The following is a 12,796-nucleotide window of genomic DNA, read 5'->3' as shown; positions in this document are numbered from 1 at the left end:
TTTTTAAATTTATTTTAATGTAATTCAAAGGAATCAAACATCTATTTCTCATCTTTTCCCTCCTAATTTATATAAGAATAATCAAAAAGGAAGTTTATATGTTATCTAGAATAAATGATCAACAAAACAATAAAACCTATTTATCTATTCTAAGTCTTCTGAAGTATACTTTGAAAAACAAAAACACATCCACTGTATTGAGATCATAATTCAGTAAGAGAAAAATCATAAGGAAAAAAGTTATTGCTTTTCCTTTTCTTCTTTAAAAAGTGGTAATAGTCCAAAAAAGTATAAATTATTCTTGCTCTTCCAACTGAGAGATATCCACTCTCCACAATAACTTTAATAATATGTTAGTTAATGATAGCTTTACGTAAATACCTTCCTACAGACTGAGATTTTAGAAATCACACTGACAAAAAGGCTGTACAGCAATATAAAGAAGACATTTTACTTTAACCATTTTGTATGTCATTCCAGAAAAAAACAAAACAAAACAAAAAAAAACAGAAAAAGCTGATTCTTTTTAATGAAAGTTATTTGTTTCTATTTTCATTAAAACATAAAAATAGGTTACGGAGAGGGATAAAAGAAAAAGTTTATTTTCTGCCTAAGTCCCTCAATAGTGTAACTCTTTAATAGAGTAACACTGTGTATTGGATAAATATTGTATTTCCAAATTATACAACTGTGAGATCAAATGATGCACTTTCACACACCTGAAAAAGGTCCACCAGGTCCCCATATCCTAGGGGTTTCCTTGCTCTGAGCAGTTTCACTGCATAATTGCAGTTTTTATCCTGGAAAAAAAGAATTAAACTAGGATACCCCACTATGAATCATATTAACAGGTGTAATAAAAGTTTTATTGTGAAAAATTTTAACAGCCATTAAAAAATAAACTTCAATTCTTATGAAAGAAAATGTGACTTAGACATTATTTTGATACTCAAAATGCTTAAAATCTAGTTCTGGGGAAGACTGACATTCCTAACAACATTAAAAGGTATTTTAGTGGGTTCAAAACGTCTGAAAATATATTTAAATGATTCAAGAATGAGGACAAATGAAAGTCTAGGCAGTTTCACATTAAAAGCACATTACAGGAAAGGGAAGGGGCTATTTAACAAATGATGTTGGTTCAATTGGTTAGTAATTTTGCAAAAGAAAAAATCTAAGTCCTCACATTACCCTACATATTATTAAGAAAAATCAAACCATAAAATAAAAATGACTATCAACTATGTAGAAGGAGAAGGTCATCCTAAGTGCAGAGCTACAAAAGAAATCAGAAAAAGTGGTTAGGTTATATAAAACTGAAAAGCCTCTAGATAAAAAAATCAAAAGGTAAATGGCCTAGAAAAAATATGATATCAACATGATGGGAGGTTAATATTTTTCCTGTATCAATAGCTCAAGCAATTTGACAAGGAAAACACAAAAGTTCGAAGAAATGAATGTAAAATTTTAAAAAAGAATAATTTAATACAGGGAAAAAATGATCAACATCTAGTGGAAGTGAGAATTCATTTGTCTATTTAATTACCAAAAGACTTTTAAAAATAATAATCCTGGCAAGGAGGTTATAAAAATATGCTCACTTATTGTTGGTAAAGGTATAAACTTTCATCTTTTTGGAAAGCAGTATGGTAACATATTCTAAGAATTTTAAACATATTCATACCCTTTAACTTTATAATCCCACTTATAGAAATTTATTAAGAAATAATTCTAAATACTGAAACATGCCTAACATAAGGAAATTGTTAAACTACAATCCACTTGCTGAAATATCATACAGCAATTTTATTAAATTTTTTTTATTTCTTTTTCTTTATTATAGTTTAAGTTCTCGGATACATGTGCAGAACGTGCAGGTTTGTTACACAGGTATACATATGCCATGGTGGTTTGCTGCACCCATCAACCTATCATCTACATTAGGTATTTCTTCTAATGCTATCCCTCCCCTATCATACAGCAATTTAAAACATTTAAAAAGACTGGCATCAAAGAAAAATATTTATAACAAAAAACACGAATGATATAAGAATGTAAATTTTAAAAAGAAAAAAAGAATAAATAAAAGCACACTGTACTGTAGATAAACTATGTAATCTCCCTGGCTCAACAGGTCAATTTCTGAAAATGGTATTATTTACAGCCCCTCATGTCTTCTAGCCTGGATTTTAGAAATAGCTTCCCAAAAGATCTCTGCCTAAATGTGATACACTGAAATATATCTTCCACACTGCTATCCTAATTTACTTAAAATATAAATATGAACGTGTCACTTCCCTGACTCAAACTCTTCCCATCATGCTGCTCAGGATATCACATAATGGCCCCTATGAAATTCCTGACACCTATTCCCCCTTCATACTCTACAGTCAGGCAACACTTCAATAGTGTATCCGAATACACCAAGCTCTATACACAAACCTCATGTATTTAAGAAGTCCCCTTTACTTGATACTTTTATATTTTATTTGCCTGGCTAAGTCTTCCTCAGGCTTCCAGACTCAGTCTCAGATTCCCAGGCTGGGTTAGGTGCCTTCCTTATGTCCCCATAACAACCCTCTCTATACTTCTACCTTAGCATTAACCACATAGTATAAAAATTCTATGCTGAGGGTCAGTCTCCTTCATTTTTCTGTTATCTGGTTGACATGAACTTAAGATGATAAAACTCACGTACTCAAATCACGTAAAATTAAAGAGAGGTAGAAAAACATACTAGAGGCAGCAATGACTTAGTTGCCTCTTAGTGTAATTTATTTATTAGCCTACATTTAAAGAGGGCTTACTATTTCCCATGTAGGATGCTAAATACTGGCAACATAAGTCACAATAAGATGTTGACTCTGACCTCAGGGAGTAAGTCATCTAGAAGAAAAAGTTTCTAGAAAAGGTCTTCAAAAGCCAAATGAAGGAGTAGGTAGGCTAAACAGAATGAAGGGCACAAACATTTCTTTCAAGTGTATTTCTTGTATTTCCATATAGACTGGAGGCGAATTTCATTACCCATCTTTATATCTCCTCTAATGATTCTTACATAATTATTTACTCATTAGGAATATGTTGCATGATATATTCTATAGATGTTTGTAAAATATCACAAGCACATTTATTGATAAGAAAATATATTAAATATATAAATATAAATGTATTCAATTTTAAAAGCAAATAAATTACCTTTTAAAATCAGAAAAAAATTCCAAAGTATATTTACTCATTGCTACTTAAAGATCTTTTAGTTATGAGCTCTTTAAAAAGAAGATGAGGGAACAACATGTGAAAAAAGAACAAAAGTCACAACTACTGATTATTTATGTAAAAATTCTTTATGTATACTGACAGCAGCTGAAAGCAGCCACAGGTAGATGTAACCACTACGGTTTGGGGTAGGGGCTAAATATACAATGTTAAAAGATACCACAACTTCATTGATTTCCTTGTTACAAAAATTTATGCAAAAAGCAGATTATGTAATTCTTGTATAACAAAGAATTTCTGAATTTTTAGTATACTATAAGCTAGGATAATAAACACAATTTGTAATATATAATATTCATATAATAAATGTAAGATTAAGGTATTTGGCCTTGTAAATGAAAACTTTATGTTGCTATCTCTCATTTTCAAAGTTTTATTTTTAAAGAAAATGGAAATTTTGAAATAATGATCTGTACATCTGAATCAATGCTGACATTACCTGGCATAGCATTCCCACTTATGTCAGCATTCATGACAGCAGTGAAAACAAAGAAAAATAAACATTAAAGGAGGATGCTTAAAAGAAGGGGAGATGTAAAGCAAAGACTTATTCTGAAATATAAATAATATTCCCTTGGAAAATAAATCTAAGAAAACTAAAGTTGACTAGAAATCTATGCCGAGTATCATTAATTAAACTACTTGATCCAAATTAAAAGTTATCATTCTTACAACAAATCTTTATATATTCTGAATATACAGAGACATATGAGATTTCAATATCCAATCTCATTTGAGACTCCTCAATTGTTTGGTATTTTTGACATACATTAGAGCACAAAAGTAGTATAGTCTCCTATAGTCTCAAGTACCATAAAGAAGTAAATACTTCTCATGAAATTTTAAAAAGTTAACTAAAAATTTTTCTCAGTATTAACTGTACTCTTAATTATATAGTTTAGAAACTATATACTGACTAATTTAAACTCTGTTTTGAAGAGCCTCTGATTTTCAAGATGATAGTGGTCTATAAATCTACAACTTTTAGGTATAATTGCTTTAAATACTTCAGAAAAAATACTAGGATAAAGTTTAAGTGCAAATATACCTCCTCAAGTATATGGGCTCTGGATACTACGAAGATTAAAACATGACTATTAATTGTATTTGCACCAGATCTGTTCTAACTTGATTTGAATAATGCAAATTGAATTAAAATGAAATTAACAGCCTGCCTATATATTTAAATCATACCGACTAAGTCAAAATTTTTCTTACTCATCTTAAGAGTAATTTATTAGACATTTTACTTGGGATAGAATGCTGGAATAACAGTGATCCTCTGAGGAAATCAGTCTTTTTTTAAAAAAAGTCTTCCACAAACTATAAAACCAATAAAAATTTGTATTATTGGAGAATAATTAAGGACTTACCACGGTATCAACAATGATATTAGCAACAGTAAATATTTTAAATATTTACAGTGATATTCTAATACGATTGGCCTATGGTAAGTCTCCAACATAAAAATATCCAGGTCATCATTTTTCTTTAAACACCAATTTCCCCACAGTAGCTAATCTGCCTAATGTACATCTCCCATTAAAACCCACATGCTGGCCGGGCGCAGTGGCTCACGCCTGTAATCCCAACACTTGGAGAGGCCGAGGCGGGAGAACCCCGAGGTCAGGAGTTCGAGACCAGCCTAGCCAACATGATGAAACCCTGTCTCTACTAAAAATACAAAAATTAGCCAGATGTGGTGTTGGGCACCTGAAATCTCAGCTACTCGGGTGGCTGAGGCAGGAGAATCGCTTGAACCCAGGAGGCAGAGGTTGCAGTAAGCCGAGACCACACCATTGCACTCCAGCTGGGATAACAAGAGCAAAAGTCCATCTCAGGAAAAACAAACAGACAAACAAAAAAAACCCACTTGCCAGCCTTCCTAACCCTACCATGTGCACCTCTGCCTTTACCCACCACTTTCACTATACCACTTCTCAATATGCACACAGAGCATTATTTACTTCTGTGCATAATGTTATAAAACTATTGGGTGTTTTGATAAGACTGTTCAAAATCAGGGAAAAAGCTGTGGGAAACAGATGTAATTGAGGAGCGCTTATGCTAAGGGCAAATTTCCAGCAAAGCTGGATAGCCTAAGTGAAATCCACTCTTGCCCCCGATCCTTAATCTGACCCCAAAAATCTTAATTTCATTTCATAACACTCTGAAATCCCACCAGTTACAGATTTACTGGTATCCCTTTTAAAAAATGTAAAGTATATGAAAGTTAAAGAGATTATTTACTATTTGGACTCTGTAAATTAATTTAATAGGACTACTTTCCTCATAGATTAGCTGAGATCAACAGCACTACTGGAACTGGAAATGCAGATTAAAGGATCACTGAAGCAAGCACTGGTTACATATGTAATACTTGGGAGTAAGTGGCTAACGTGGAAACCTGGTGATACCATGGTAGCACACTGTAGCAGGAAGAACATGGGCTCCTGAACACTCCTGGATTTTAATCTGGTTCTATCACCTTTCCTGTGACCTTGGGCAAGTAACTTAACCTCTTCACATCTCAATTAGCTCTACTATCAAATAAGATAATATTTCCCCACAAGGTTGTTATGTAAGATAGAATGACACAAGTGCCTTGCATATAACAGATTCTTAAAAAAAAAAAAAAAAAAAAGCCAGTTTACCTCTTTTCCATGTTCATTATTGAGGCAAGAACAAAAGGCACCAAGGAAGAGAAAGGAGTGGACTGGGTAGAAAAGAAGGATGCCAAAGAGAAACTCCTGAAAATTCCTCCTTGAAAATCAGGTTCAATCAAGAGAAGGTAAGAAAACATTTTTGTTTTCTTTTCTCTACTTCACTCTCATTCTTTTTTCATGATCATACTGCCTTAATCCCAAGACTCAAAATTCATACGGTACAACTAAATACAGAAGACTATGTTATGAACTGTTCGTATTATATTAAAGAGAAAGTAGATCACAGAAGGTGGACTGAGAACAAATCTTTCATTCAATACAATGGAACAAATATTACTGAATGCTTTTTATGGTGTGTCTCAGGTGATTAGCAGGAAGTGGAGGAGAATGCGAAGATGAGTAAGAAAAAATTCCTTGCCTTTAAGGAGTCAGTAGTGTTAAGCTTTCTGATTTCAGAGAATTTTTGTAGCATTCGTCTCTGGGAAATACAGTCAGTTCATAAGTTATGGACTTTTGCCCATTCTGTTTCATTATGAATAGCATATGTTAGGGCATGAGGAAGAGATGTTACAGAAAACTGATGGCTTTTACAATAAAGATTCTACTTTTACTATTAGTCAAATTTTTGTTTATTATTAAATTTTTAATACAAAAAATTACCTGCCAAAATTTCAGTGTTTCGTGCAGCAATTGTTTTAACTTTTATTATTCCTGATTCAGCAGCCTGCAAGAATAAAAATAATTAGAACACAAAATTTACTGCCAAAATGAATTATCTATGGAAAATAAGTCATATGTGATAGACAAAATATCAAGCACAAAGTCAGTCACTACCCTACCACCTTTTTAATTTTCAAACCATCAGATACTAAGCCCAGTAGTGACATATACGTTAAATGTAATAAAACATGATTAATTTGATTATTCACATGCAAACTCTGAATGCACTACAACATGTTGCCTTCCTCTGCCTTAAGGCATTATCTGGAATACCTCAATCCCCTGCAAAGTTAAATTTTCCGAGAATAAAAATAACAAACAAAAACAAAATCTACTGAAAATAATTAGGCTCCTTTTCCCCATTTCAAGCCTCCTCTCTCTCCACCACACACAAAAAAATTATAGAACACTGCAAAATCAAGTAAAACTACTGTGTTGGATTTATTTATTTATTGTTGATGGAGTTTTTTGCTCTTGTTGCCCAGGCTGGAGTCCAATGGCACGATCTTGGCTCACTACAACCTCCGCCTCCCTGGTTCAAGCCATTCTCCTGCCTCAGCCTCCCAAGTAGCTGGGATTACAGGCACCCACCACCATGCCTGGCTAATTTTTGTATTTTTAGTAGAGTGTTTTATTTTTGTACTTTTTGTATTTTTAGTTGGCCAGGCTGGTCTTGAACTCCTGACCTCAAGTGATCCACCCATCTCAGCCTCCCAAAGTGCCAGGATTACAGGCATGGGCCACCGTGCCCAGACCTGTGTTGGATTTTAAAAGCTACTTTGTTTTCTTTTTTGAGAATGGATAACCAAACACTTCATTAACCGTAGTATGTTTAGCGGGCAGTACTGGCAAGTCACATAGTATTTTACAGAATGCCACAGAACTGCACTGTCCAATTTGGTAGCCATTTGGCTACATGTGGCTATTAAGCACTTGAAATGTGGCCAGTCTGAATTGAGCTATGCTCTAAGTGTAAAATATATACTAGGTTTTGAAGACTTAGTATTAAAAAAAAGAATATAACCTATCCCCTAAATATTTATACTGACTACATGTTGAAATAATATTTCAAATTATTACGTTAAATTATTATTAAAATTAAATGTCTGTTTCTTTTTACTTTTTTTCCCCTTTTTTTTAGAGACAGGATCTTGCTGTACTGCCCAGCCTGGAGTGCAATGCCACAATCATGGCTTACAGCAGCCTCAAACTACTGGGCTCAAGTGATCCTTCCACCACCGTCTTCCAAGGAGCTGGTACTATAGGTACATGCCACCATGTCCAGCTAATTTTTCAATTTTTTTGGTAGAGACAGGGCCTTGCTATATTGCCTAGGCTAGTCTTGAACTACTGGCCTCAACCGATCCTCCCACCTCAGCCTCCCAAAGTGCTAAGATTACAAGCATGAGCCACTGCACCTGGCTTCTTTTTACTTTTTAATGCAGTTAAAAATTACGTATATGTATTACATCTGTAGCCCACATTATAATTCCATTGAAGAGTGCTGAGATATAATATTGACATATTATTTCCATCATAGAAACTTGGAACATTTTTATTATTTAGAAACATGCTATTTTATACATACACTGTTATCTATACTTCCAAAGATAGTAAGTACGTACTCATAAGAAGCTATATGTACAAGTTTTCTTATTAATTTGCTTGCTACTTGGTCATTTATTTTATCTCTTACTGCTTGCTAAGGGACAAGTGGTAGCAGTCTCTAAAGGTTTAAAAATAATTATGTAAAAACACCAGTATGCTATGGCCTGTTAGTCTGACAAACAATGAATTGATGTCTAAAATAAAGAACACATTGTAAGATATACCATGTGCAGTAGACTTCTGTCATTTTGTTGGCTCCAAGCATGTCAAGCCCTTGCTTGTGTTTGAAGAATTCCTAACTTCATAAATTTTGGTGCAAAACAGAGCCTATCTTCCATTATTAAAACTGAAAATGTAGATGCTTTTCCACATGCCCTGCTGGCAGCCTATGCTTACCCAGAGATGTACCCACCAGCAATTTTGAATGTAGAACCTAGTAACAAAGAGCAGAGACAACAAAGAATTCTTTCTGATGACAGCAATAGTGAAAGCAGTATCTAGTTTCCGAAGGCAGCAGAACCAGTAGTGGCCTAGAGTGACCAGCATACCCAGAAGTGCAATCAACAGCATCCAGTCATCATTCAGCAGACACAGCCGTAACGGTCACGCTGGCATGAGTTTTGCCATGGTTCTAGTTGTTTAGCCTCCCCTTTGTTTATACACTTTTTCTAGGGCTGGCTCCATCCAGCCTTCTACCAACTCTGTAAACCACTCAATATCCTATCAGTAAAGTTTATTTCAGCTTAAATCAGCCAGAGTCAGCTTTCATTGCTCACAACTAAGAAGCCTAATGGATACACCAGGACTTATTTCTAAAACTTTAGAAAATGGAAAGGTCCCAAATTAAATTAATACATCTCCTAGAAGAAAAACATGGTCAAAATGAATTACTTCAGGGAAAGATTATTGGTTTTCTGATTACTTGGGCAGTGTATATTAGAAACACCAGAAGCTTTTAAATAAGTCCTGATGCCCCGATTGCAACCTAGTTAAGCCAGAATGACTGCTGGTGGGAGACAGCCATCAGTAATTTTTTTTTTTTTTTTTTTTGAGACGGAGTCTCGCTCTGTTGCCCAGGCTGGCTCCATCTCTGCTCACTGCAAGCTCCGCCTCCCGGGTTCACGCCATTCTCCTGCCTCAGCCTCCTGAGCAGCTGGGACTACAGGCACCCGCCACCACACCCAGCTAATTTTTTGTATTTTTAGTAGAGACGAGGTTTCACCATGTTAGCCAGGATGGTCTCCATCACCTGACCTCGTGATCCGCCCGCCTCAGCCTCCCAAAGTGCTGGGATTACAGGCGTGAGCCACCACGCCTGGCCGAGCCATCAGTATTTTTAAAAATCTTCACGTGATTCCAATATACGGTAAAATTTAAGAGACTACAGCAATAATATAAGCAAGAGATGATGATGGATTGGCCCAAGATTGTTAGTGATAGAGATGGTAAGAAGTGGTGAGATTCTCGATATACCTTGAAGATGTACAAACCACAGCAAATTTACTACTGTAAAAATTATAGAACACTGAAATTATTATGTGTATTTTGTAACATTCACACACCCCATCTCAAATTATCTTGGATCAATTTCTTACTGAGGCAGTGGAAATTAATCTGTGGTCACTGAAATTTCCTCCATCATCATTTTCGAGTTTAACTTCTCCCCTTTCTCACTATGGCCCTATATACCTTGCATAGGTCCAAAGTCAATATGTGGTTTTGCTTCGGTGCAAACCAAGATTGATTAAATTGAACCATCATAAATATGGATGTAATTTATCCAGACTTTCTAAATTCTAGTCAGTCAAACCTTAACGGTTTCCAAAATCCATCCTGTAGCGTGCTAGATGATAGATGTCAGTAAATGATTTCAAATTCGCCATAGTCCTGATTTCCTGAGATGAATAAGAGTTGAACCATGAATGTGTGCACATGTCTAATAAATATCTTTATGCAAACACACAATAAGGAGAAGGAAAAGGAAGTTTGTTTTTCATTTTGAGACCAGGTCTTACTCTGTCACCCAGGCTGAAGTGTTAATGGCAGGATCACAGATCACTGCAGCACGGACCCCTAGGCTCAAGCAATCCATCCATCTCAGCCTCCTGAGTAGCCTGGGACCACAGGCACACACCACCACACCTGGCTGATTTTTTTTGTTTTTTGTTTTGTAGAGACAGGGTCTCCCTATGCTGTCTAGGCTGGTCTCAAACTCCTGGACTCAAGCGATTCCCCTGTCTCAGCTTCCCAAAGTGCTGAGATTATAGGGGTGAGCCACCGTGCCTGGTCAAGTATTTTTTAAGTAGTTCCAAAATGGTATTTTAAAAGATACGTAACCAGTATTTTCATTCCTAAATTCAAGGAATTGCCAAAAGGACTGTTTGTTGCCTTAGATATAATTAGACCTATCACATAGCTCCTCATTTTTAACATACAAGTTTCTACTGTCAAAATACTCTGGAATTGTATCATCTTATTCTCATAGGCACCCTGTGTTGATGGAAAATTTCACTATCAATGATTATTGACACACTTGTATATCACTTAGGTATGAAATAAGACTAGCCTATATCTTTAAGGTTATTCTGTATGAACAGAGGTCTTCGCAATCAGATTTCCTTCTATGTATCAAGGATTGCAGGTGTGAAAAAAAATTGTTAGCTTCTTGCTTTAAAAGTATTCCCTATTCTGATCAGATACCACGTATATCTGCAGGGAACCTAATAAATTGTAAACATGGTTGTTGTTGTTTTTCCTTAATTGATACTCATGCAAAAAAAAAGAAGAAAAGAAGATGAAAAAAGTTCTACAGACTTGAATAGAAATGATATAGGTTAAGGTAAGTAATCTTATCTACTGCTGAGGACAATCTATGAGTTGGAAAGAATGCCAAAGCCTTAAATACACTGCAGCGTTTAATATGTTACTCTTAATCTTCTCAAGAAACATTTTCTTCTTTTCTCAAAACCCTTTGCTGACTGCTTTTCTAAGACCACCTAGAATATCCTTGACCTCATTTCTCACTCAGTAAACTCTTCCTGTGTAATACCATACAGCCAGGCCTCCGTATCCACTGGTTTTGCATCTGCAGATTCAACCAACTGCAGATCAAAAATATTTGGGGGGGGGGGGGGATATACACACACACACACACATTTTAAAATACAGCATAACAACTATTTACATAGCATTTACACTGTATTAGGTATTATCTAGAAATGACTGAAATTATATGGGAAGATATGCACACGTTATGTGCAAATATTACAACATTTCATATCAGGGGCTTGAATATCCTCAGATTTTGGTATTCCCTGGGGTTCTTGGAACCAATTCCCTGCAGATATCAAAGGATGGCTGTAATTTCATGGTTTCATTTACTTTCTAACTGCTGAAGACTTCTAAATTATATTCCTGTTCCTGATCTGTCTCCTATACTACAGAAATTATTAACCTAAATGTTTAAAAGGCACCTTAAATTCGACATGTTGAAAATAGATGTTATCATTTCCTTCTACCCCCAAACTCCTACCTCAGCCAGAAAAATCTATTTCTTCTTTCTACAATTTCTGTTTTTCTTACCAGCAGCATCATCTATCCAGTCACTGACCAGATACCAGGGTTTTTTCCCTCAACTCACAAGTCTAATCAGCCATGAAGTCTTTTTGGTTAACCTATCTTGTACCTTTTTCTCAAATCTCACTCCCACACTTTAGTTCAACACTCATTATCAACCTAAATGAAGAAATGTCTCTACCTACAATCATGTCCTCCATCCATCCACTGTCTCAATTCTTCAATGATTCCCTAGTGCCCACTCCTACCAGTGTTTCTCAAAATTTAGTACAGTAGTGTAAGGACATCTTTTAAAAGGAAGAAACAAACTATGGACCTACCCAGTCATTGACAAATTTACATGTATATATAAATACAATCAGGAATATACTCTTTATAGGTCTTAAATTATAATGCCAACATATTCACAAATGAAATACAAACCCAAATTGTACTAATTTAATGTGACAAATAATGCTTTGCTGAAATTAAACCATTAGTAACAACAAGATGATAGCTATAGACTTATGGTGCAGGTCCTTCTGATTTTGTCACCCTCCTAGTGTCATAAGCAGTGACGGAAATCTTTTCTTCCATCACTTTCTTCTACGGTAACTACTGAAAAGTCTTTCTACCTTTAGTACTGTCTATGGCTTGTACCTGTAACACTTTATCTTATTCATCTCATTATGTCTGTTTCTTCATACTACCTATAAGAATAATAAAGATAAGAAATAGATCTCATTCATAGCTCTATATTATTGTCTATCCCAGTGCCTTTCATACAGTAGCTATATAATAAATGTTCCCAAGGGAAGAAATGGAAAGTTCTAAATGTACCAGAAAAACTTGTTGGTATTTTATACACACACACACACACACACACACAAATTATATCTACAAGTGCCAATTCTAACTCACTTAAAAAGGGGAGAGAGAGGGATGGACTTTACTGTATCACAAATTGAAAC

The 12,796-nt window shown here is 35.0% G+C and overlaps 1 protein-coding gene and 1 long non-coding RNA gene across 15 annotated transcripts in view; one reads left to right on the top strand and one right to left on the bottom strand.

Moving 5' to 3' along the window:
* MON2 (MON2 regulator of endosome-to-Golgi trafficking) overlaps positions 1 to 12,796 on the bottom strand; it is a 133,651-nt gene that overhangs the window by 109,641 nt on the left and 11,214 nt on the right. For 11 of the 14 annotated variants that reach the window (XM_017019043.2, NM_001278472.2, XM_017019041.2 and 8 more), the window contains one exon: positions 6,603 to 6,666. Coding sequence is in view for 9 of the 14 variants with exons in the window: in XM_017019041.2 (XP_016874530.1) it covers positions 6,603 to 6,666 (64 nt within the window). In the remaining 5 variants the exon portion in view is untranslated. Of the gene's footprint in view, positions 1 to 719; positions 801 to 6,602; positions 6,667 to 12,796 lie in introns of all 14 variants that reach the window. The other 3 variants (XM_017019045.2, XM_047428542.1, XM_017019044.2) reach the window with 1 other exon arrangement.
* MON2-AS1 (MON2 antisense RNA 1) lies at positions 5,894 to 8,487 on the top strand. Its single transcript, NR_186172.1, has 2 exons — positions 5,894 to 6,067; positions 7,804 to 8,487. It is a non-coding gene; the product is annotated as an MON2 antisense RNA 1 (long non-coding RNA).

Source organism: Homo sapiens, chromosome 12 (assembly GCF_000001405.40).
Source record: "Homo sapiens chromosome 12, GRCh38.p14 Primary Assembly".
In the NCBI taxonomy this organism is placed as follows: Eukaryota; Metazoa; Chordata; class Mammalia; order Primates; family Hominidae; genus Homo; species Homo sapiens.
This window is presented reverse-complemented; position numbering and strand designations above follow the sequence as displayed.